General features: G+C 42.8%; 2 long non-coding RNA genes across 2 annotated transcripts in view, besides 1 other annotated feature; both read right to left on the bottom strand.

Moving 5' to 3' along the window:
• The window catches only part of CCDC90B-AS1 (CCDC90B antisense RNA 1), a 140,270-nt gene that overhangs the window by 98,116 nt on the left and 16,057 nt on the right, over window positions 1-26,097 (bottom strand). The gene's annotated exons all lie outside the window — the stretch shown is intronic.
• Window positions 2,025-2,525: an enhancer, noted in NCBI's record as "H3K4me1 hESC enhancer chr11:83036792-83037292 (GRCh37/hg19 assembly coordinates)". NCBI's record gives its function as "activates a minimal SCP1, AML or CMV promoter by ChIP-STARR-seq in naive and primed H9 embryonic stem cells {active_cell/tissue: H9 hESC(naive and primed)}" and the evidence as "EXISTENCE:reporter gene assay evidence [ECO:0000049][PMID:30033119]".
• On the bottom strand, window positions 21,132-22,516 carry LOC105369420 (uncharacterized). Its single transcript, XR_950379.2, has 2 exons — window positions 21,576-22,516; window positions 21,132-21,391 (listed from the first exon to the last, which is right to left on the bottom strand). It is a non-coding gene; the product is annotated as an uncharacterized LOC105369420 (long non-coding RNA).

Raw genomic sequence — 26,097 nt, 5'->3', positions numbered from 1 at the left:
TGTCCTTCGGGCACATTTGTGTTTAGCAAAGCAATTGTCAACTACAAACCTGAACAAAAAGAAATCCTCCTGCATTAGTCAAGATTCTCCAGAGAAACAGAACCAATAGGATGTGTACATAGAGAGATTCATTTTAAGGAACTGGCTCACATAATTGTGGGAAGTGGCAGGTCTGATATGTCCAAGACAGGCCAGCAGGCTGGAGACTGAAGGAAGAGTTGATTTCATAATCTTGAATCTGAAGGCAGTGTGGGGGCAGAATTTCTTCTGCCTTGTGGGACCTCTGTCTTCTCTTAAGGCCTGCAACTGATTAGATGAGGCCCACTCCCATTATGGAGGGTAATCTGTTTTACTCACAGTCTACTGATTTAAATATTAATCACATCTAAAAAATACCTTCACAGCAACATCCAGATGGGTGTTTGACCAAACAACTGGATATGATAGCCTAGCCAAGTTGATACATGAAATTAACCATCACATTTTCCATTTTCCAAATCTCAGTAAATGGCAGTACCGTGTACCCAAATGCCCAAGTAAAATACATAGAATCTTCTAGATCCTTTCTCCTCCCTCACCCTGCATACCCAAGTACTGAAAATATGAATTCCCAAATATTTCTAGACTTGATTCCTTCCTTTTCTTCCCCATGCCTACTGACAAACCATTGTCTCTTACCTGAATTGTTAAAATAGCCCCCTAACAGTTCTTCCTGCCTCGAGTCTCACCCTCCTGTTAAATTTCAAAACCATTAAATTCATTTCTCTCTGAAAATGCTTCAGTTATCCTCCATTGTTTACTAAATAAAATTTAACTTCCATAAGGTATGGCCCACAAGGCTTTTCTTGATCTTGCCCCTGATCACTTATCCAGCTTCATCTCTCACCACTGCATCTTGTTTACCCCAAACCTAGACAGCTACTTGCAGGCTCCAAACGCCCTGTGACAATTCAAGTGCTGCTCCCTCTACTAGTAATGTCTTGCTTATATGGAAAATGTTCATTCTTCCATCATCACATTCCAAATTTTCCTTCTTCCCTGGCCTTTCCCACCTTCCACACACACTTCCTACAATACAGACTTACATTCTCTTTTTTCTGAGTTTCTTTAGTATTTGGCTTACACTTCTATTGATCACATTTCATATGGACATTAAAATATATTTACATGGTTGTCATCACTATTAATATATGATCTTGTTAAAGGATTATGTTTTTGTCTTTATTCATCTTTTTACCCTCAGTTCAAAAGACAAAGCCCAAGAGGGGCTTCAAGACAGCTGACTTGAGGCATATTGTACTCAGCCTCCTCAGAAAGAACCAAAATAGTGAGTAGATAATCACACTTCAAATAGATTGTCCAAGAGAGAAAACTGGAATTCAATTGAGACGTGACAGGAAATACCTAAAGCAAGGCAGAAAGGGAAGTGAGGTAGCCTGCTCAGGCAAGACTGGCTGGAAGCCTGGAGAGACTCCCCAGTGTGGGGAAAGGGTAACTGAGAGACCACCGCAGTGGTCCACATTTCCACTGTGGACTACCACAATCCTAGTCACAGGAGAAGCTCTTAACCTTTGTGGGCCTGAAACTGACATAGAGAGCTGCCTGGGGAGCACACAAAGGCACTGCTCCAGAGTGGGAGCTCATGCTTAGCCCCCCACACACCTTGAGTCATAAACAGCTATAACATGGTGCCATTTTGAGAGCCCAACCACCAACAGACCACACACTGCCCTGAGGCTCAACAGCACCTGCATCACCACATTCCTGGAGCTCCACTGACATTCCCCACCTGCATCACTGCCATGGCTGGCTGCTGCCACCTGGGCCAAGGTGCAGGCCACAGGCAGTCACTCTACGGCCTCCAATAGTGGAGCCATTACACATTTTAGTGTACCCAGAGACAGTCCCCCACCTGCCCAGCCTGGCTTTGCCCACATCCACCCACTCATGCCAGAGCATGTAGTCTAGGGACCTGGGGATCACCCAGTCCATCACCAATGGCACCTGAGCACTCCTGCTGGGGGCCTGAAGTTGGGTCCACCCACCCTGCTGCTACCACCACAGCTGGCACCTACTTGCATACACCACTTGCAGGCCTGCAGAGTGGCCTGTCCAGCCCATCACAGCCACTGCTATCACCAGCACACATCACTCGAGACACAGATGGTTATCTTGCCACTGCCAGTGCCATCACTCACACCACACCTGTTGCCCAGGAGCCCAGGAACCCATCCACTCACCCAACTCACTGCTGACACTATCAGCATCTGAGCAAGCCACTTGGATGCCCAAGAATCAGCCCACTTAGACCTGCTAACACCAGTGCCAGCATATGCCGCTCAGGAGGCCCAAGGACGAGAATGCTCAGCCTACTACTGCCACCACTGGGGCCCAAAGACTGGCCTTCCCATTGTTCCAGTCCTCAGCAAAACTTCATCATAGCCTCCACTAATAATCACACCCTAAGTTACCAAGGAAATCACAGATACCACTGACACTATTTACAGCTAAAGAAATCATACAAAGACTAGACTACTATGTGCATTCAGTATCAAAGCCAAAGTGCCCTATCTAAACAATACCATAGAAACATCTTCAGGAAAAAGTCTTCCCCTACAAAAGTAAATTCAAAAAATTGGAAGAAGCAACTGTTACACCAGATGTGCAGACATCGATGTAAAAACACAAGAAATATGAAAAAATAAGAAAATATGACCCCTCCAAAGGAACACAATAATTCTTCAGCAATAGATATCAATGAAAAAGAAATTTACAAAATCCTAGAAAAATAATTCAAAACATTGGTTTTTTTAAATTTCAACATTTGAAAACTTCAACAATAGACTAGAACAAGAAGAAGAAAAGATCTCAGAACTTGAAAACAGGTCTTTTGCAGTAACACGGTCAGATAAAAATAAAGAAAAAAAATGATCAAAGCCTAAATAACATATGGGACACCATAACGTGACCAAATATTAGAATTTCTGGAGTCCCAGAAGGCACCTATCAATAATAACCTTAAATGCAAATGGATTAAACTTTTCACTTAAAAGATACAGACTGGGTGAATGAATTTTGTTTAAAAAAATGGCCCAATGATTTACTGGTTACAAGAAACTCATCTCACTTTTAAAGACACATATAGACAAAGTAAAGAGATGGAAAAAGACATTCCATGCAAACGGACCAAAAGCAAGAGGGAGTAGCTATACTTATATCAGATAAAACAGACTTTAAGATAAAAACATGACAAAGAGACACAGAAGTGATTATATAATAATAAAGGGATCAATTAAGGAAGATGATATAATAATTTTAAACATAGACTTATTTATGCACCCAGCATGGGAGCACCCATACGTATAAAGCAAATATTATTTGATTTAAAGAGAGAAATAGACTCCAATACAGTAACATTTCAAGACTTAACACCTCATTCTCAGCATTAAACAGATCATGTAGACAGAAATTTAACAAAGAAATATTGGTTACGTTGTATTAAGCACAAGTAAAAAATAAAAATAAGAAGGAAACATTGGATTTAAACTGCACTTTAGACCAAATGGACCTAACAAACATATACAGAATATTTCATCTAACAGCTACAGAATAAAGATTCTTCTCATCAGCACATGAAACATTCTCCAGGACAGACCATACGATAGGACACAAAATAAGTCTGAACAAATTTTTAATATCAAAATCATATTCAAATACCTCCTCAGACCACAATAGATAAAACTAGAAATCATTAACAAGAGAAACTTTGGAAACTGTACACATACATGGAAATTGAACAACATGCTACTGAATGACCATTAGAACAAGGAAGAAATTAAAGAGTAAATCAAAAAATGTTTGAAAGAAATGAATATCAAAACATAACATACCAGAACCTATAAGATATAGCAAAAACAGTGCTAAGAGGAAATATTATAGCAATAAGGGCTTACATCAAAAAAGGAGAAAGATTTCAAATAAACAATCTGGTGCACCTCAAGGAACTAGAAAAGTAAGAACAAACTAAACCAACAATTAGCAAAACAAAATAAATAGTAAAGATCGGAGCAGAACTAAACAAAACAGAGACTTTTAAAAAATTACAGATGATCAATTAAAAAACTACAAAGGATCAATGAGATGAAAAATTGAAAAGATGAACAAAATTGATAAACCACTTGCTAGACTAATCAAGAAAAACAGAGAATAACTACAGAAACAAAATCCGAAATGAAAAAGGAGACATTACAACTGATATCATAGAAATACGAAAGATCATTGGAAACTATTTTGAATAACTATACACTAACAAACAGGAAAACCAAGAGGAAATGGAAAAAATTCCGCGCATACACAATCTACCAATATTGAATCAGGAAGAAACAGAAAACCTGAACAGACCAATAACAAGTAATGAGATTAAAGCAGTAATAAAAAAGTCTCCAACAAAGAAAAGTCCAGGACCAGATGGCTTCACTGCCAAATTCTACCACACTGTCAAGGAAGAACTAACACCAGTTCTCCTCAAACTATTCCAAAAAATCTAAAAGGAGGGAATTCTAACTCATTCTACCAGCATTACCCTGATACCAAAACCAGACAAAGACACAAGAAAGAAAGAAAAAACTGCAGGCCAATCTTCCTGATGAATATAGATGTAAATATCCTCAACAAAATATTAGCAAACTGAATTCAACAGCACATCAAAAAATAATATAAAGCAATCGAGAGGGATTTATCCCAGGGATGCAGGGATGATTTAAAATATGCAAATCAATAAACATCACATATCACAAGGACAGAGTGAAGAACAAAAACCATATGATCATCTCAACAGATGCAGAAAAAGCATTTGATAAAATTCAAAATCCCTTCATTCTTAAAAAAAGAAACAACTCTTAACAAACTAGGCATAGAAGGAATGTACCTCAACATAATAAAAGCCATACACAACAAAATCGCAGCTAACATCATAATGAATGGGGAAAAGCTAAAAGCCTCTAAGAACTGGAAAAAGATAAAAATGCCCACTTTCACCACTCCTATTCAAGTTAGTACTGAAGTCCTAGCCGGAGCAATCAGGCAAAAGAACTAAAATGTATCCAAATTGGAAAAGAGGAGGTCAAATTGTCCCTCTTTGCTGATAATATGATCTTACATTTAGAACAACCTAAAGACTTCACCAAAAAAAAAGTTTTTTTAAATCTGATAAATTCAGTAAAGTTGCAGGATATGAAATCAACATAGAAAAATCGACATTTCTATACACCAATAATGAACTAGCTGAGAAAGAAATCAAGAAGGCAACCCCACTTACAGTAGCTACCAAACAATTAAAATACCTGAGAATAAAGTTAACCAAGGAGGTGAAAGATCTCTACAAGACAAACTACAGATTGCTGATAAGAGAAATTGAAAAGGACACAAACAAATGGAAAGAAATCTCATGCTCAATGAGCAGAATTAATATAGCTAAAATGATGACCATTCTGCCCAAAGCAATCTACAGATTCAATGCCATCCCTATCAAAATACCAATATCATTTTTCAGAGACTTATTTTTAAGAATCCTAAATTCATGTGGAACCAAAAAAGAGTCTAAATGGCCAAAGCAATCTCGAGGAGGAAGAACAAAGCTGGAGGTATCAAACTGCCTGACTTCAAAATATATTACAAGGCTATAGTAACCAAAACAGTGTGATATTGGTATAAAACAGAAACATAGAGCAGAATAGAGATTCTTGAAATAAATCTACGTATCTACATATTTACATGTTTACTTTGATTTTCAGCAAAGGCACCAAGAACATACATTGGGGAAAGAATACCCTCTTCAATAAATGGTGCTGGGAAAAATAAATATCCGTATGCAAAGGAATGAAACTAGATCCCTATCTCTTACCACATACAAAAATCAACAAAAGAGGAATTAAAGACTTAAATGTAAGTCCCCAAATCATAAAACCACTAGAAGAAAACATAGGGAAAACACTTCAGGACATTGGTCTAGGTAAAGATTTATGGCTAAGACCTCAAAAGCACAGACAAAAACAAAAATAGACAAATGGAACAACATTAAACTACAAAGCTTCTGCACAGCAAAGGAAACAACACAGTGAAGACACAATCTGTTGAATCGGAAAAAATATTTGCAAACTATTCATTCAGCAAGGAATTAATATCCAAAACATACAAAAAACTCAATTAAAAAATGAAATAATCCCATTTAGACATGAGCAAAGGACATGAATAGACATTTCTCAAAAGTAGACATAGAAATGGCCAAGAGGTATATTAAAAAATGATTACCATTACTAATCATCAGGTAAATGCGAATCAAAACCACAGTGAGATACCATCTTACCCCAGTTAAAGTGGTTATTATATGAAAAAAAAAAAAACGAGAAACAACAGACACTGGAAAGGATGCAGATAAAAGGGAACTTATACACTATTGTTGAGAATGCAAATTAGTATAGCCACTGTGAAAAACAGTACGGAGATTTCTCAAAACACTAAAAATGGAGCTACCGTATGATCCAGTAATCCCACTACTAGGTATTTACCCAAAGGAAAATAAATCAGTACTTCAAAGGGATACCTGTACTCACATGTTTATTGCAGCACTATTCACAAAAGGAAAGATATGGAGTCCATCTACAGATGAATGGATAAAGTAAATGTGGCATTCATACACAATGGAATACTTTTAAGCTATAGAAAAGGATGAAATCCTGTTAGTTGTGTAACATGGATGAAACTAGAGGTCATTATGTCAGATGAAATGAGCCAGGCACAGAAAGACAAACATCATATAGTCTCACTCATATGTGGGAGCTAAAAAGTTGATCTCATGGAGGTACAGAGTAAAATGATAGCAGAGGCTGGAAAGGATGTGTGGGTGGGAGTGAGAGATGAAGAGAGGTTAGTTAATGGGTACAAACATATGGTTAGATAGAGATAGAAGATATACATTCTTGGGGAAAAATCTAATCTGATTAAAAATGGGCGAAAGATGTGAATAGACATCTCTCAAAAGACATGCAAATGGCAAACAGGTATATGAAAAGGTGTTCAACATCACTGATCATCAGATAAATGCAATAACTATAATGAGATATTGTTTCACCCCAGTTAAAATGACTTATATCCAAAAGACAGGCAATAACAAATGCTGGTGAGGATGCAGAGGAAAGGCAACACTTGTACACAGCCGGTGGGGCTGTGAATTATTACAACTACCATGGAGAGCAGTTTAGAGGTTCCTCAAAACACTAAAAATAGAACTACAAATGATCCACCATCCCACTGCTAGGTATACATCCCAAAGAAAGGAAATCAGTGTATCAAAGAGAGATCTGCACACCCATGTTTGCTCCAGCACTATTCACAATGGCCAAGATTTGGAAGCAACCTAAGTGTCCATCAATAGACAAATATATAAAGAAAATGTGATACATCTACACAATGGAGTGTATTCAGCCATAAAAAGAATGAGATCCTGTCACTGGGAACAACACAGATAGAACTGGAGATCATTACATTAAGCAAAATAAGCCAGGCACAGAAACTTTGCAAGTTCTCACTTATTTGTGGGAGCTAAAAAAAAAATTAAAACAATTGAACTCATGGTGATAGAGAGTAGAATGATGGTTACTAGAGGCTGGGAAGGGCAGTGGTGGTTGGGAGAAGTGGGGATGGTAAATGGATACAAATATATAGTTTGATATAATGGATAAGATGTAGTATTTGATAGCACAACAGGGTAACTGCAGTGTAAAATAATTTGTTATATATTTTTAAATACCTAAAGAATACAATTGGATTGTTTGTAATACAAAGGATAAATGTTTGAGGGGATGGATACCCCATTTACCCTGATGTGATTACTATGCATGGTATGCCTCTATCAAAATATCTCATGTACCCCATAAATATACACATCTCTTATGTACCCACAAAAATTAAAAATTAAAGAATTTTAAGATAGAAGTTCCAATGTTCAGTAGTAGATTAGGGTGACTGTTATCAGCAACAATGTATTGCATGTTTCAAAGTAGCTTGATGAGAGGACTTGAAATATTCTCAACAAATAGAAATAATAAATGCTTAGAGTGATGAATAACCCCAATACCCTGACTTGATTACACATTCTGTAACAAATACTCACATGTACACCATAAATGTGTATAATATTGTATATCAATAAACACATCAAAGGGAAAACTTATAAGGCAAAGTCCAGTATAGTGCTCATCACTTAGCAAACACCCAATAAAGGTTTGCAATGACCTTTTCACTTGTTTGTAAACGTCTCCTTCTAGAACTAAGCTTCTTTTGGGGAATAACTGTTTGGCTTACCTTGTGCCTTGCAAAGTACTTGGCATATAAGAGACATCTAATAAAGATATTTCAAATGAACGAGCACTTCAGCCATTAAATTTGATCATCTCAACCTCACATATGCTCCCCATTCTTCTTATACCGAAATATTCAATTAGGTAGAAAAGTTCTCCTTGGCATGGACTAGTCTTCTACTTTTTTGTGTTCTTTTTTCTACCTATCCCCACCCATCTTAGGGAGTAGCACGGTATCACGTACATAGGAATACAATTATTATTGTGGATGAAATGATGAATAGGTTATACACTTGTGCATTCTTTTCTCTGAATCAGAGCTTTCTCATGTCAAAACTTATCCCTGACCCTTGCATCATGAACTGTGGAAAACCAGGCTGAGAGAGTCTATCCAACTAGGTCAACTCTGCCCAGGAGAGATGAAATGACTGTCTCTTGTGATTAACCTATACACATCTCAAGAAGGCATGCACTCATACTCTCCAGGAGGATTATATTTCATCTTGATGATCAGATGAAGGATGAGGACAGGAAGAGTCCGAGGGAGGAAAGCCACGGCTAAAGAAGAGATACATGCACCTTGGGGCTAAAATGAAGCCATAGCTAACCAGGGTGAATTAACGCAAAGGAAGTTGCAGCTTCATCTAGAGCCAAAAAGCAATAGCTTACCTTGAACCCAGAAACACTATTACATCTTGAGCAAGCAGCACCAGGAAGGTGATAAGCCCTTTACATGGTCTTTTATCAGAGTTCTGGGTTTCCTGGCCCTATTTACAGCTAAAGTCCTGGACTCCCTCAGCTTATTCCCACCTTTGCTCCTTACTTCTCTATTCTTTCTGCTTGTATCTTATCTTTTGAGGTCCAAGGTCAACTCTCCAGACAAACATGACTTCTCCAATGTGATCCTCAGCCCCTCTCTTGGAAATGGTTTTATAGGATAAGCAGTGTAGCAGAATGGAAAGAGTAGGAGAGCTTTGGGGTAATCAGACGAGCACTTAAATTCCACTCACAAGCTGTCACCTTGGATAAGCATCTTAACCTCCAAAGCCTCTGTTTCTTAATGAGCTTAATAATATCTACCCCATAGGGTAGTTTTGTGTATCAAATGAGATAAAAAAGAGTAGTTGCGATAATCAGCATCATTAACCCTCTTTCTTTATTGGCATCTGTCCTGAGGTAAACACCTTTCCTATCTGGCTTCAGTCCTGGAGAGTCAACGCTACTTTTCCAGGTACCCCTGGTGAGGAATAAATTCGACAGAAAAGTTCTCTGTTTGGGTTATTGTTGGTTCCTTAAAAACCACCTTGCTGTTCACAAGAGAGCTTTTAAAACTTGAGCACTTACTATATACACACACCTCAATGAACATGCCCATCTACTGTAAGGTTCTTGAATGTAAGATAAGGTGCTCTGCCCTAGAATAGTGGATGAGAAGGAAGTCCCCACCTTTCCAGACAAGGCTGAAAGCTTAGGAAAGTCACACAGATTGACAGAGATCCAATAGCTGCTGTCTCCCTCCTGTTTAAAGCACAGTCTGGAGAGTCTGACGCAGCTACCCAGGTTTCTGGTGCTAACTCACAGTCCCTGAGAAAATCAGCACCCTGGGGCACATTAATCATTCCCTTTCACAGAGATAAAATATTTTCTCTACTGATCCTGAACAGGGAGCTTGCCTAGAAATGATCTGCATTCTAAGGTGACTCCTTTTAATCTTCTTGTCTCATGGAAATGTCTTTCCATCCAGGGTTCTGCCTGCATCCTGGCACTTCTCCTCATAATTTACCATGGTACTATAGTATTCAGAGATCTCAGAAGTTATGTAATTTAACCCCAAATTTGTACATAGAAAGAAACTGAAGCTCAGAGAGGGGATAAGGCATGGACAAGAGGCAGAGCAGTCAGAGCCAGACTCAAGTCCAGATACTTGTCCAGCTGCCTGTCCCACCAGACAAAGGGCAATCATGCATTGCCAGTACCGCCAATACCACACCTTAGAAACAAGCTGCTGTTAAGAAACTAGGCTTCGCCTCTCCCTCTTCCTCTCCCCCTCCCTCTCCCCTCTCCCCTCTCCCCTCTTCCTCTCCCCTCTTCCCTCTCCCTCTCCCCACGGTCTCCCTCTCCCTCTCTTTCCACGGTCTCCCTCTGATGCCGAGCCGAAGCTGGACTGTACTGCTGCCATCTCGGCTCACTCCAACCTCCCTGCCTGATTCTCCTGCCTCAGCCTGCCGAGTGCCTGCGATTGCAGGCGCGCGCCGCCACGCCTGACTGGTTTTCGTATTTTTTTGGTGGAGACGAGGTTTCGCTGTGTTGGCCAGGCTGGTCTCCAGCTCCTAACCGCGAGTGATCCACCAGCCTTGGCCTCCCGAGGTGCCGGGATTGCAGACGGAGTCTGGTTCACTCAGTGCTCAATGGTGCCCAGGCTGGAGTGCAGTGGCGTGATCTCGGCTCGCTACAACCTCCACCTCCCAGCCGCCTGCCTTGGCCTCCCAAAGTACCGAGATTGCAGCCTCTGCCCGGCCGCCACCCCATCTGGGAAGTGAGGAGCGTCTCTGCCTGGCCGCCCATCGTCTGGGACGTGAGGAGCCCCTCTGCTTGGCTGCCCAGTCTGGAAAGTGAGGAGCGTCTCTGCCCGGCGCCATACCATCTAGGAAGTGAGGAGCGCCTCTTCCCGGCCGCCATCCCATCTAGGAAGTGAGGAGCGTCTCTGCCCGGCCTCCCATCGTCTGAGATGGGGGGAGCGCCTCTGCCCTGCCGCCCCGGCTGGGATGTGAGGAGCGCCTCTACCCGGCTGCGACCCCGTCTGGGAGGTGAGGAGCGTCTCTGCCCGGCCGCCCCGTCTGAGAGGAGACCCTCCGCCTGGCAACCGCCCCGTCTGAGAAGTGAGGAGCCCCTCCGCCCGGCAGCCACCCCGTCTGGGAAGTGAGGAGCGTCTCTGCCCGGCAGCCGCCCCGTCCGGGAGGTGAGGGGCGTCTCTGCCCCGCCACCCCTACTGGGAAGTGAGGAGCCCCTCTGCCCGGCCAGCCGCCCCGTCCGGGAGGGAGGTGGGGGGGGGTCAGCCCCCCGCCCGGCCAGCCGCCCCATCCGGGAGGTGAGGGGCGCCTCTGCCCGGCCGCCCCTACTGGGAAGTGAGGAGCCCCTCTCCCGGCCAGCCGCCCCGCCTGGGAGGGAGGTGGGGGGGTCAGCCCCCCGCCCGGCCAGCCAACCCGTCCGGGAGGGAGGTGGCGGGGTCAGCCCCCCGCCCGGCCAGCCGACCCGTCCGGGAGGTGAGGGGCGCCTCTGCCCGGCCGCCCCTACTGGGAAGTGAGGAGCCCCTCTGCCCAGCCAGCCGCCTCGTCCGGGAAGGAGGTGGGGCGGTCAGCCCCCCGCCCGGCCAGCCGCCCCATCTGGGAGGGAGGTGGGGGGATCAGCCCCCCGCCCGGCCAGCAGCCCCATCCGGGAGGGAGGTGGGGGGGTCAGCCCCCCGCCCAGCTAGCCGACCCTTCCGGGAGGTGAGGGGCGCCTCTGCCCGGCCGCCCCTACTGGGAAGTGAGGAGCCCCTCTGCCCAGCCAGCTGCCTCATCCGGGAAGGAGGTGGGGGGGTCAGCCCCCCACCCGGCCAGCCGCCCCATCCGGGAGGGAGGTGGGGGGGTCAGCCCTCCGCCCGGCCAGCCGCCCCGTCCGGGAGGGAGGTGGGGGGATCAGCCCCCCGCCTGGCCAGCCGACCCGTCCGGGAGGTGAGGGGCGCCTCTGCCCAGCCGCCCCTACTGGGAAGTGAGGAGCCCGTCTGCCCGGCCACCACCCCGTCTGGGAGGTGTACCCAGCAGCTCATTGAGAACGGGCCATGATGACAATGGCGGTTTTGTGGAGTAGAAAGGGGGGAAAGGTGGGGAAAAGATTGAGAAATCGGATGGTTGCCGTGTCTGTGTAGAGAGAGGTAGACATGGGAGACTTTTCATTTTGCTCTGTACTAAGAAAAATTCTTATCCTGTTGATCTGTGACCTTACCCCCAACCCTGTGCTCTCTGAAACATGTGCTGTGTCCACTCAGGGTTAAATGTATTAAGGGCGGTGCAAGATGTGCTTTGTTAAACAGATGCTTGAAGGCAGCATGCTCGTTAAGAGTCATCACCACTCCCTAATCTCAAGTACCCAGGGACACAAACACTGCGGAAGGCTGCAGGGTCCTCTGCCTAGGAAAACCAGAGACCTTTGTTCACTTGTTTATCTGCTGACCTTCCCTCCACTATTGTCCTATGACCCTGCCAAATCCCCCTCTGCGAGAAACACCCAAGAATGAACAATAAAAAAAAAAAAAAAAATTTCAGGCCAGGTGCAGTGGCTCATGCCTGTAATCCCAGCACTTTGGAAGACTGAGGTGGGCAGATCACCTGAGGTGAGGAGTTCGAGACCAGCCTGGCCAACATGGTGAAACCCTGTCTTTACTAAAAATACAAAAAAAAACTGGCTGAGTATGGCGCACACCTATATTCCCAGCTACTCAGGAGGCTGAAGCACGAGAATTGCTTGAAGCTGGGAGGTGGAGGTTGCAGTGAGCTAAGATCACCCCACTGCACTCCAGCCTGGGTGACAGAGTGAGGTTCCATCTCTAAATAAATAAATAAATAAATACTACAACAACAACAACAAAAAGAAACTAGGCTTCAAGGATCTCTTTCTTTTTCTTTTTCTCTTTTTTTTTTTTTTTTTTTTGAGACGGGGTCTCGCTCTGTCACCCAGGCTGGAGTGCAGTGGTGCAATCTTGCCTCACTGCAAGCTCCGCCTCCCGGGCTCACACCATTCTCCTGCCTCAGCCTCCCGAGTGGCTGGGACTACAGGCGCCCACCACCACGCCCAGCTAATTTTTTGTATTTTTAGTAGAGACGGGGTTTCACTGTGTTACCCAGGATGGTCTCAATCTCCTGACCTCGTGATCCACCCACCTCGGCCTCTCAAAATGCTGGAATTACAGGCGTGAGCCACCGCGCCCGGCCAAGGATCTCTTTCTTATATGCTATGTCATCCTGAGCAGGTTACTTCTCCTCGCTCCTCAAAGGATGGTCCCCAGACCGGCAGCCTCGACAGCACCTAGGAGCTTGTTGGAACTGCAGAATCTCAAGACCTACCCCAGACCTGCTTTTAACAAGACCCTCAGATTATATAAGTTTGAGGAGCACTGACTTAAATTATCTGAGCTTCTATTTCTTCATCTGTTAAAGGGAATAATAGTGTCTGCCTTAAGAGTTTGTTCCCAAAAAATTGACAATAAGGTAACTTGCAAGCAGTAAGATACCTTTATTTGAAAGCTCAGAGAATTGTTTCAAGGAAGTTTAAAACTCAGACATAGCAATAGTAAAGAAAATCTCTGTATACTGCTTCAATTTAATTCAAATATCTTATAACTTAAGATAATGATTAAAGCAGGAGCTAGAAACTAATTCAAATTACGAGGCAATATATACTTGTTGGCTCTTGGATGAGACTGCCTGGGTGTGTGCTTTTTTTTTTTTTTTTTGACAGAGTCTTGCTCTGTCACCTAGGCTGGAGTACAGTGGCACGATCTCAGCTCACTGCAACCTCCGCCTCCTGGGTTCAAGCGATTCTCCTGCTTCAGCCTCCCAAGTAGCTGGGATTACAGGTATGCACCACCACACCAGGCTAATTTTTGTATTTTTAGTACAGACAAGGTTTCACCATACTGGCCAGGCTGGTCTTGAACCTCTGACCTCATGATCCTCCCGCCTCGGCCTCCCAAAGTGCTGGGATTACAGATGTGAGCCACTGTGCCCAGCCTGTTCATTTACTAGAAAGGTAAGCTTGAACAAGCTTTTACCTTCACCAACCTCTGTTTCTACACCTGTAAATTGAAGCTAATAATGCATCATGTGGTAGTAATGCATCATCTCAGGGAGATAATCAGTAAAGTACTTAGCACGGGGCCTGGCACATAGTATATATTCCCACCATCATTGTAATCATCATCATCATTGACAATCATGTCGATGTCACTCAACAACTGCAAATTGGGAAGGTTTCCACATAGGAAATTTTGGGAAGGCTTCCTCATCAAGAAACCATTCCACTTGGGACATCTTCTTGATGAGAGACAGGACAGGAACTTCTCCTTCTAATGTGAATAATCAACTGCAGCCTTCATTTTCCTCCTGTGAAGACATGTTTATGAGTGGCAAGTAAATTCAGCTTTCTCCTATTTAAGCCAGACTTCTTTAACTCCTTACTACTTCCCTTTAGCCTCCTAAATAAAATTTTATATTTGTCATAGGTTTTTGTAGGGAAGAGCTCAAGATACTTACACATAGCCTGACAAATGTCCCTTTCTCCTCCTCCAACTGCACACAAATAATGGCATTTCAGCAACTGAACAGCTATGTTCAGCTCACAATTACTAACTAGACTTTGACCAAGTTTTCATGCAATCTGAAATGTGAATTCTCCATGAGGGCTTTGCAGAATACTAGGATTCTAACTCCCTAACTTATCCCACTGCCCCCAAAATTATACTAATTAAGCTGCCTCCATCTTTCATATCAGAATAAGTTCCAGAAAAGGAGATTCAATTCAGCTCACATTTTAGTGTAAGCACTATGTTAGCTCAGTGCAATCCTTAGAAATAAAGCCTAGAGACCTTTGATAACTAGTAAATGATACCTGAGTGACCTTGGTAACTTGCCCAAAGTCACACAATTGGTCAGAAAAGATGACGCCCAGGTCTTAAAAAGTACTAACTTTGCAGAGTCCAGTGTCTCCCAATTCCAAACACCATGTTTGTTCTTCCCAGTGTTTAACCTAACCTCTCCTGCTTTGGTCTCAGCCTATCTATCCACTCTTATTTTGCCACTGACATAGAAATTTTTAGTGATTCCTTTTTAAATCTCACTCACCTTGCCCTTCATATAGATATCATCTAGGGGAAAATAAGTCCAACCCCATTGGCCCCAGAGTTCACTACCTTTGACTGAGAGGAGGTGAACCAAGGTGTGGTATGTTTATTCCCTTAAGAGTTGGGGTAAAGAAAGGGGCATCCTGTGAATTGTGAGGATCCTGACATGATAATCTAGATATCTGTCTCTGAGCAACAGAGAGCATAGGGAGTAATTACAGGCTCTTGCTTTTGTACTGAGCTCAACAATTTTCAAAGCATATCCACATCCTGTTGAGCCTTCCAACCATCCCATGAGGAGGGCAGAGCAGGAATTATGATTAATGAGGCTCAGAAAAGGCTAAATGATTTTTCCAAAGTCACAAAGCTAGTGAGCAGTCAGGCTGGGACCAGAGCCTAAGCCAGGGCTTTCTCTCACACACATTGGAAAAGAAAGCTCAGGATGGATCATCCCTTAAGCTATTATTAGAAATTCTCTGATCATCAGCTGATGCTTTAATGGGGCTGAGCTAGTGGTCAGCTGTGAATAAGAATGGTACACAAATCCACCACCATGAGGAAGCCTGGGGAGGGGTAGGATAGAGAAAAGGGGAGAAGAGGAGGGTTCCAAGGACAAACATCTTAAACTCCAATCCACTTTTTTATCAAAGACTAGATCTGACAGTGCCAAACCAACCCATTTGCAAGCTTTCTCTCCCTTGGTTCCTAGACTAGGTGCTCCTGGGGAACAAGAGCTTTGCATCTCCAGTGGTCCGTGCCTTCCTGGGCACAGGGTAAAATCTCATATAGATTTGATGAATGAATGGATAAACGAATGAATCACTATGTGTCCACACTAACTCCAGGTTTTGTCTTTCACAAGGCTTCCTGCACGCACCTTGGTTCCACCCCTCCCCAACCCTGCATCCTCTCCAATGTCTAACCCAGGTCAGTGTCAGGGCTCCAAATCAAGAAGAGAATTATAATCTAATAAAGGTCTGAGCCTGGCCCAGCACAGAGCACAATCCCCTGTCATACTGAAACAGCAGTTTTCAGTTAAGACAATCCAAGCAGTTCTATTGCTCATTCCCTTCCGGCACATCAGATTGACATTTCTCCCAGCAGGGGGATTTCTTGTTTCAAAACAAAACAGAATCAATACAGTTTTATTAGCCATCCAATGTAATAAACTTGCCCCCAGATGACAGCCTCTAGGTCCAAATCTGACCAATCCAAGATGAGTCTGAGATACCAAAGGAATGCATCCAAACAGTCTCCAATTCCTCCGCCCTCCCCTCTCTCTCCTGAGCACCATCAGCCTGATCTTGTTCTTTATCACATCTGCCTGACCTTCTGCACAGTCTCTTAATCATTCTCCTGGGCTCCAGGCTCTCTGCTCTCCAGCCTTTCCTCCATCTCATCTGAAATTTTTCCTCCTCTCTATGGCATTTGAGGTCCTTCCTAATGTGACCCACCCCTCCTGACTGATTTCTCTCTACTCCTCCCAATCAAACTACAGATCAACAGAAGCACTCCCCAGAGAGCACATGAATTCCCTATCAGGAGTTCTCATGCTGAGAACTCCTCATTTTTCAAGGCCCACTTACTCTGGGAAGCCTCCTTCGAAGGACCCCAAAAAGGAAGTTACTCTCTTTCCCATGATCTCTTAGTATTTTATTCATATCCTAATACCTGGCACATTATCATAATTTTGGTTTACAGGCATACTTCATTTAATTGCACTTTGCTTTACTGAACTTCACAGATACTGTGTTTTTTTACAAATTGAAGGTTTATGGCAGCCCCATGTTGAGCAAGTCTATCAGTGCCATTTTTTCTGACAGCATATGTTCACTACGTGTCTGTGTCATATTTTGGTAATTCTCGCAATATTTCAAACTTTGTCATTATTATTATGTTTGTCATGATGATCTGTGATAAGTGATCTTTGATGCTACTACTGTAATTGTTTTGGGGTGCTATGAATTGCACCAATATAAGACAGCAAACTTAGTTGATAAATGTTGTGTGTGTTCTAACTGCTCCACTGACCAGCCATTCCTCCAACTCTTTCCCTCTCCTTGGGCCTCCCTATTCCCTGAGAAATAGCAATATTAAAATTAGGCTAATTAATATCCCCACAATGACCTCTAGTGTTCAAGTGAAAGGAAAAGTAGCACATCTCTCACTTTAAATCAAAAGCTAGGAATGATTAAGCTTAGTGAGGAAGGCATGTTGGAAGCCAAGATAAGTGGAAAGCCAAGCTTCTTACACCAGTTAGCCAAGTTGTGAAAGCAAAGGAAAAGTTCTTGAAGGAAATTAAAAGTGCTGCTCCAGTGAATACACAAATGATGAGAAAGCAAAACAACCTTATCACTGATATGAAGAAAATTTTAGTGATCTGGATAGAAAATCAAACCAGCCACAACATTCCCTTAAGCCAAAGCCTCATCCAGTACAATGCCCTAACTCTCTTCAGTTCTATGAAGGCTGAGAAAGATGAGGAAACTGCAAAAGTATAAAGCTAGCAGAGGTTGGTTCATGAGGTTAAAGGAAAGAAGTTGTCTCCAGAACATAAAAGTGCAAGGTGAAGTAGCAAGTTCTGATGTAAAAGCTATGAAAATTTATCCAGAAGATCTAGCTAAGATCATTGATGACAGTGGCCACACTAAACAATAGATTTTCAACATAGATAAAATAGCCTTCCATTGGAAGAAGATGCCATTTGGGATTTTCATAGCTAGAGAAGTTATTGCCTAGCTTCAAAGCTTCAAAGGACAGACTGACTCTCAAGGGCTAATGCAGCTGGTGATTTTAAGTTGAAGCCAGTGCTCATTTACCATTCTGAAAATCCTAGGACCCTTAAGAATTATGTAAAATCTACTCTGCCTGTGCTCTAGAAATGAAAAAACAAAGCCTGGATGACAGCACATCTGTTTACAGCATGGTTTACTGCATATTTTAAGCCCACTGTTGAGACCTACTGCTCAGAAAAAAAGATTTCTTTCAAAATATTACTGCAGGCCAAGCATGGTGGCTCACACCTGTAATTCCAGCACTTTGGGAGGCCAAGGCAGGTGGATCACTTGAGGTAAGGAGTTCAAGACTAGGCTGGCCAACATGATGAAATCCCATCTCTACTGAAAATACAAAAAAAAATTAGCCAGGTGTGACGGTGCATGCCTGTAATACCAGCTACTAGGGAGGCTGAGGCAGGAGAATCACTTGAACCTGGGAGGCGGAGGTTGCAGTAAGCTGAGATTGCATCACTGCATGCCAGCCTGGATGACAAAGCGAGACTCCATCTCAAAAATATATATGTATTACTTCTCACTGACAATGCACTTGGCCACTCAAGAGCTCTGATGGAGATATACAAGGAGATTAATGCTGCCTTCATGCCTGCTAACATAACACTCATTCTGCAACCCATGAATCAAGGAGCCATTTCCATTTTCAAGTCTTATTATTTCAGAAATATATCTCCTAATGCCAAAGCTGCCATAGATAGTGATTCCTCTGATGGATTGGAGCAAAGTAAATTGAAAACGTTGTAGAAAGTTTTCACCACTCTAGATGCCATTAAGAACATTTGTGATTCATGGCAGGAAGTAAAAATATCAACACTAACTGGAGTTTGGAAGAAGTTGGTTCCAATCCTCATGGATGACTTTGAAGGGTTAAGCGGAGCCCAGGTTGGACACAGTGGCTCATGCCTGTAATCCCAGCACTTTTTGGGGTGGATCACTTGAGCCCAGGAGCTCAAGATCAGCCTGGGCAACATGGCAAAACTCCATCTCTATAAAAAATACAAAAATTAGCTGGACATGGTGGCATGTGCCTGTAGTCCCAGCTACTCAAGAGGCTAAGGTGGGAGGATTGCTTGAGCTCAGGAGGCAAAAGCTGCAGTGAGCCATGATCGTGCCACTGCACTCCAGCCTGCGCGACAGAGTAAGACTGTTTCAAAAAGAACTGGAGAGCTGTGACTAAATTGCAGCAATCTCATGGTAAAACTTGAATGGATGAGGAGTTGGAGTTGCTTCTCATGGATGAACAAAGAAAGTGATTTCTTGAGATGGAATCTACTTCTGGTGAAGATGCTGTGAATATTGTTGAAACAACAATATTAATAAAGCAATAGAAAGCTTTGAGAGAATTGACTTCAGTTTTGAAAAAAGTTCTGCTGTGGTTAAAATAGTACCAGACAGCATCATGTGCTACAAAGAAATCTTTCAGCGAAAGGAAGGTTCAATTGATGTGGCAAACTTCATTTTTGTATTTTATTTTACTATTTTATTTTATTTTATTTTACTTTATTTTATTTTATTTTACTTTATTTTATTTTATTTTATTTTATCTTATTTTATTTTATTTTATTTTATTTTATTTTATTTTATTTTATTTTATTTTATTTTGTTTTATATTTTGAGGCAGGATCTCACTCTGCCATCCAGGCTGGAGTGCAGTGGCACAACCTTGAATTCCTGGGCTCAAGCAACCCTTCCATCCTACCCTCCCTAGTAGATGGTAGTATAGGCATGCACCACCACACTCAGCTAATTTCTTTTTATTTTCTGTAGACACACGGTCTCACTATGTTGCCCAGGCTGGTCTTAAACTCCTGGCCTCAAAAGATTCTCCCACCTCAGCCTCCCAAAGTGCTGGGATTTACAGGTATGAGGCAATATACCCAGCCTGTTGTCTTATTTTAAGAAATTGCCACAACCACTCCAACCTTCAGCAACCACCACGCTGATCAGTCAGCAGCCACCAAAATCGAGACAAGACCCTCCACCAGCAAAAAGATTACAAGTAGCTGATGGTTTGGATATCATTAGCATTTTTTTAGCAAATAAAGTACTTTTAAGGTATGTACTTTTGTAGATATAATGCTTTGCACACTTAATAGAGTTTATAAGGTAAACATAACTTCTATATGAACTGGGAAACCAAAACATTCTTTTTACTCACTTTATTGTGTTAGTCTGGAACTAAACCACATTATTTCTGAGCTATGGCTGTACTTGTCTCTTCCCCTACTCAAAAACTCCTCTAAGGAAAGAAGTTGTCTCCAGAACAAAAAAGTATAAGATGAAGGAGCAAGTTCTGGTGTAGAAGCTGCAGCAATTCATCCAGATGATCTGCGATTATTGATAATGGTAGCCACACAAAACAACAAATTTTCCATGGAGATTAAATAGCCTTCTATTGGAAGAAGATGCCATCCAGGACTTTTGTAGCTAGAGAAGAGAGTACAATGCCTAACTTCAAGGCTTCATAGGACACACACTGTAGGCTAGGTTTGGAGTACTATTCAACCTTCAGACATTCTTGAACACCCCATGCCTACCATAGTATCTGTACCAAGCACACAAAGTATATTGAGCTTCACTGAAAGAGGTTATTGAAGGTTGTCAAAATGTCAGGCAATTCACATATTGCATACTGGTAAGGGCTCTTGAAAGTTAAAGAACACCTACCTAAGAGTATGTAAATTATTAAAACATTTTAGAGGGCAATATAGCAATACATTCCAACATTTTAAATATGCAAACTCTTTGACTCAGCCATTCCATTTCTAGGGATTCTTCCTATAGACATTCTTACGTACATGCACTAAGAAGTATCTAAAAGGATGTGCAGTACAGCTTTGTTTTGTTTATAATAACAAAAAAAGAATACAAAGTATCCATTAATAGGAGCACCAGTTAAATGAATAATGTTATGCCTATACCCTGTAATACTATTGAGTTATTAAGAATGAAATAGAATTCTATGTACAAACTTGGGAAAATGTCCAAGACATAATGATAAGTGAGAAAATTAAGCTGCAACACACTGGAAAGAAAGTGCACCAATCCGTTAACAATATCATCTTCAGGGTAAGGAATTAGAGAATAATTTTATTCTGAACTCTATACATTTTCATACCTTTTTATTTCTAAGGAAGCAATACATTTATAATAAAAAAAAATGCATTTTCTTAAAAAGTAGAAGCCCACCCTCCACTACACCCCCAGCTTCCCTTTTGGATGCAGTGGAAGATAAGCACTGGGCTGTTCATGGGCTGGAAAAGCTAGAATCTTCTTTTCTCCAGGTGCTCCATGAGAGAGGCATAGCTCTGATGGCTGCTCCCTCCCAGCTGCCAATCACGCCCTCTCTTCCTCTGATAATTCTACTGTAGGATTGGGGGAGAGCATAGAACAGGATAGGCAGGAGAGGGGCAGGTAGGTAGGAGAGCTCTGACATCAAAAGCTGCCTCTGCCTGTCTTTCCCCTCAGGTCTGCCTTGTCAAGCCCAAAATTAGAAGGGAAATGAACTGTAGCTAAATCAGCTAACTGAACCAAGAAACAGCCCTCTACCTTCACTTCCAGTGACATCAATCCAGTGATCCTGGACAGGGTCCCCCAGCAGTAGAGAGTTCTGCAGACACACAGGCTGACCTGTCCAGGTACTGCCTGTAGGAGGCAGATAGGGACACAGCTACTTGAAAAGGAAAGGACAGAAACAACTGAATGAATTCCATGAATTGGTAAATTGCCTAATCTAATTTTTCTCTTTGGATAAGTGTCCTTTGTCTCTGCTTCAGATGGTGGAAAGGCACACAAGAGTGAGGCTGCTGCCAGCTTTCTTCTAATGACATGCCGGGACCCACGCCTGTTATTACCAATATTCTAGAATCTGAGGAAAGGGCATTATGCCAGATAAGCCTCTCCCTCCCTCCCACTGTGTAAGCTTTAGAATCTGAACTGGACTGAGCGGGCCTGAAGTATACACTTCTGGTAAATAAAAATAATGCTAATATTATATTATTAGCTCTAGTAATGCTATCATTATTAGTTAGGTAATAGCTCAATAAATACCACCTTCTTACTCTGTGTCAAATGCTGTGCCAAGTGCTTTGTATGCATTATCTCACTTTAAAACAATCGCGTGGTAAGTACGATTATTATCCCACTTTTAAAAATGAGAACACTAATCCTCTATTAAATAACTTCCACAACATCACTCAACTAGTAAGAAGCAACACTAAGACTGGTTTAGTTCCATTCTTAACCATGAAACTGTGGTGGTTTGTAGAGTGGAATCTTGGCATTCATGAGGAATACGCCAAAATGAAACCAAAATACCTACTAAGAAAACAAACTTACCTCCCTCTTAAAATTTTGTAAAACTGCAGGAAAAGATATTTTGAAAAAAATAATAAACCAATTAACATGAGAGGCATTGGGTACATTGGGTAAATACCCAGACACCAGAGTCAGACTACCTAGGTTCAAATCTCAGCTCTCTACCATCTACCAGCTATGTGACCTTAGCAAACTGTTTAAACCTCTGAGCCTCAGTGTCTTCATTTTCAAAATGGGTTGTTTTGGCCGGGCGTGTTGGCTCACACCTGTAATCCCAGCACTTTGGGAGGCTGAGGCAGGCGGATCACTTGAGGTCAGGAGATCGTGACCAGCCTGGCCAATATGGTGAAACCCCATCTGTACTAAAAATACAAAAATTAGCTGGGCGTGGTGGCACACACCTGTATAATCCCAGCTACTTGGAGGCTGAGGTGGAGGTTGCGGTGAGCTGAGATTGCAACACTGCACTCCATCCTGGGTGACAGAGCAAGACTCAGTCTCAAAAAAGAAAAGGATTGTTTTGAGGGTTAGAAGAGTTAATATAGTAAGTGTATTTGTTTCCTATTCCTTCTATAACAAATTACCACAAACTTATTGGCTTAAAACAACACTAATTTATTATCTTACAGTTCTGGAGGTCAGAGGTCCCAAATGGGTCTTACTGGGCTAAAGTCAAGGTCTGTGTTTCTTCTGCAGGTTCTAGGGGAGAATTAATTTCTTTGCCCTTTCCAGTTTTTACAAACCACTTGCAGTCCATCTTCAAAGCCAGGATCTTCACATCACTCTGACCTCTGCTTTCCTTGAACATTCCTTTTTCCGACTCTGACTCTCCTGCATCCCTCTTTCCCTCATAGATATCCTCGGGTCCACATGGATAATCCAAGGTAATCTCCTCATATCAAGAGTCTTCATTTACTCACATCTGCAAAATCCCTTTTACCATGTAAGGTAACATATTCATAGGTCCCAGGGATTAGGATGTGGATATCTTTGGAGTCATTATTCTACCTGTCACAGTTAGATATATATAGAGATAGAGATATATAGAGATATATACATACTAGTAGCAACACTAAAAATAAAAAAGATTACCCATAACCAAATCAGAACTTTTAGGGAATTCCTGAAAGATAAAAAAAAAAAAACAAGTGAGATCATATTGATTATATAATCATAGCCCAAAATATGATGAGATTACTGGGGATAGTTCCAGAGAAGGACCAAGCTTGGAGTCAAAATATATAAGGGACAGAAAGGACCCTGCTCAATTAAAGCACTTCAATAGCAGTATTTGAGTCTGTGGGTCCTACTGCACCCCTTGCTTCTTCTAAGAGGCAGACAGCAGAGTTTTCCCGGTGAGGGTGAGTTGTGTGGCAAGATGGTCTAGACAGATGGGGAGCCCCACATGCAGCAGACAAGCTACCAGCACAAGCCTATAAGCAGCACCTCCTGCCTCTCCCCAGGGACAATGGTAGTTAACTGAGTCAGTCCATCTGATTCCCTCAGGAACTTGGCTGGAGAGGAAGGAAAGTCAGACATCTGGGAGAGAGAGGACTCAAGAATACCTTGCCGGTTATTCTCTGCTTGCCCTTGGCCCCTTGGCCCCTGATCCATTCTCCATTCTCCTCTCCTCTACTGTGGGGCTGATCTCTATGAGTGCATTCCCAGGGTCCCTTACCCTCTAGCTTCCAGCCAATGGGGCAACTGGCAGGAGGTTGAAGACTGCAGGAGGGAAAGGTCATGGTATTTATTCCCCCACCCACTCCATCCCACCATGTCTGCCTTCCTCTGTGGCCACAGTTCCTGTCAGGCAGCCTTTAAACAGCTCCAACTTCTAACCAGGGTCCAAGACCACCATCTCCCCAGGCCTCAGAGTGATAATGGCTCCTAGTGTTGTGTCTCTGCCAACACCTTTGCAAATAGTCCCTGCATTAAAAAGTTGCTTCAAAAATCCCAGCCAAGGAATGCCATCTGTGTCCTGCAGGTCCCTAGAATGATCCAAAGACTTCCAAGAGAAACTTAGTGGTGCAGCAACACATTGAGGAGCTACAAGGTCCTACTCCTGCAGCCCTGGATCCTGAATGTCCCTCCTGCCCCAGGGCTCATTCTGCCCAGCTGTGCTGAGGACCCCTCCTTTCCCCTGAGCAGAAGCCTTGACTTTCCCTGATCCCTAGAGCTGGGCTTACACATCTGTTTTGCATATTACTACCTGTCTTTTTAATAAATGTTCCATTGTCTTGTTCGCTCACCACCTTCAATGGCCAAGCAGCTGACAGGCAGTTCCCTCACAGCTGCTGGTGGCTAGGAGAGCTGGCACAGCATTTGGGAAAGCCTGCTTTATGGCAGCCACCTTTAGCTTAGCTCTAGGCTCATCAGAAGGAGGAAAGGACCACTGGGAGCCTGGATATGGACTTGGAATTGGGCCCAGAGACTCTACACAGTTATATCAAGGAGACAAAAATAAACAAAGCGGGAGCAATTAGTGCCCTGTTAAAAGGGAGGCTCATCTACACACATTTCCTTCTGATTAAGGTGGTATCCCCTCGGCCGTTTTTCCTGTGATGATTATCTTCCCATCTCATATCCTTCAGAGGAGACTCACAGCTCAACCTCACAGATTTGTTCACAGCTTCAAAAACCTAGCATATTAACTAAGCTGCTGTGGGAACTAAACTCTTGCAATTCCTTCGTGTCCTGATTTCATTAACATTTTTAAACTCGCTGTTACTAAATTTTCTTACACCTGTTTGCATATTTTATCTGGGAGACAACCTGCCACAGAGTATTGACCTGTAAAAGGAGAACCTAAAGACTAAAAAATAAACCAAGAATCTAGATAAAAGCTAAAAATAACTTCAATCACTCTTCAGAGATGCTAGAGAGGAGAAAGTTTGTGCAGCCATCACAGTTGGATTAACTAACTTCTAAGTCCCCTTCCAGCTCTGAGAATCTTTGAGAGAGTAGCTTTTGCCTAAAAGGTTCAGTATCATGCTGGTAGGCCCAGCCACATCCATTGCCAGGATCTGCACCCCTCGTACCCTGGTGATGAGTTGGAGAGCGTTCCTTAGCTCCTATCTGAAGCAATATCCTCAACCATCCTCTGAGACAGGCATGATAGTTTCTTCCTGACCATGTCTGCATTGTTCCCTTGGACTGTCAGTGTCCCAAGGGTGGGGACTGTGTCTCTGCACCTCTCCTTGATCAGGCCCTGGACACAGTAGGCTCTCAGAGAATGTGCACTTGAATGGATGAGTGACACCCCCTATGCCTAAACCCATATCCTTGTAGGCTTCCTAGCAGCCCCAGAAACCATGAGTTGATTTATTCGAGACCCTCTTTGGTGTTCCACACGAAGACTACAATACTAAATACGCTATTTTCCAAACTTTTTGTTACCTAGATTATGTCACCTAGATTAGAGAAACTGTGATTCAGTTTCTCTAATCAGAAGCACTAGTCTAGTGCTAGAACCGAGTTGCATGGGGAAAGAGCCATAGCAGGAGGCAAGAATTATCTTGTACAGATCAGAGCTAAACTGACTTGGCTGTGGAGCCGAGAACTGGGGCAGCAACTTCCTAATAGTGCAGCTTCCTGATTTTGGCAGAGGCAGCAACTGTGCAGTGTGATTTTGGGAAGCCATTTCTAGAAGGTCAATTTAGATTGTTTCTTCAACTCTCCCAGCAATTCTGTGAGCTACAAATACTTTTTCATAAACCTCTTTCTGCTTAGCCAGGTAGAACAGATTCTGTTATTT

The sequence above is a fragment of the Homo sapiens genome, chromosome 11 (assembly GCF_000001405.40).
Source record: "Homo sapiens chromosome 11, GRCh38.p14 Primary Assembly".
In the NCBI taxonomy this organism is placed as follows: domain Eukaryota; kingdom Metazoa; phylum Chordata; class Mammalia; order Primates; family Hominidae; genus Homo; species Homo sapiens.
Note: the sequence above shows the minus strand (reverse complement) of the source record. Positions and strands in the feature narration are given on the sequence as shown.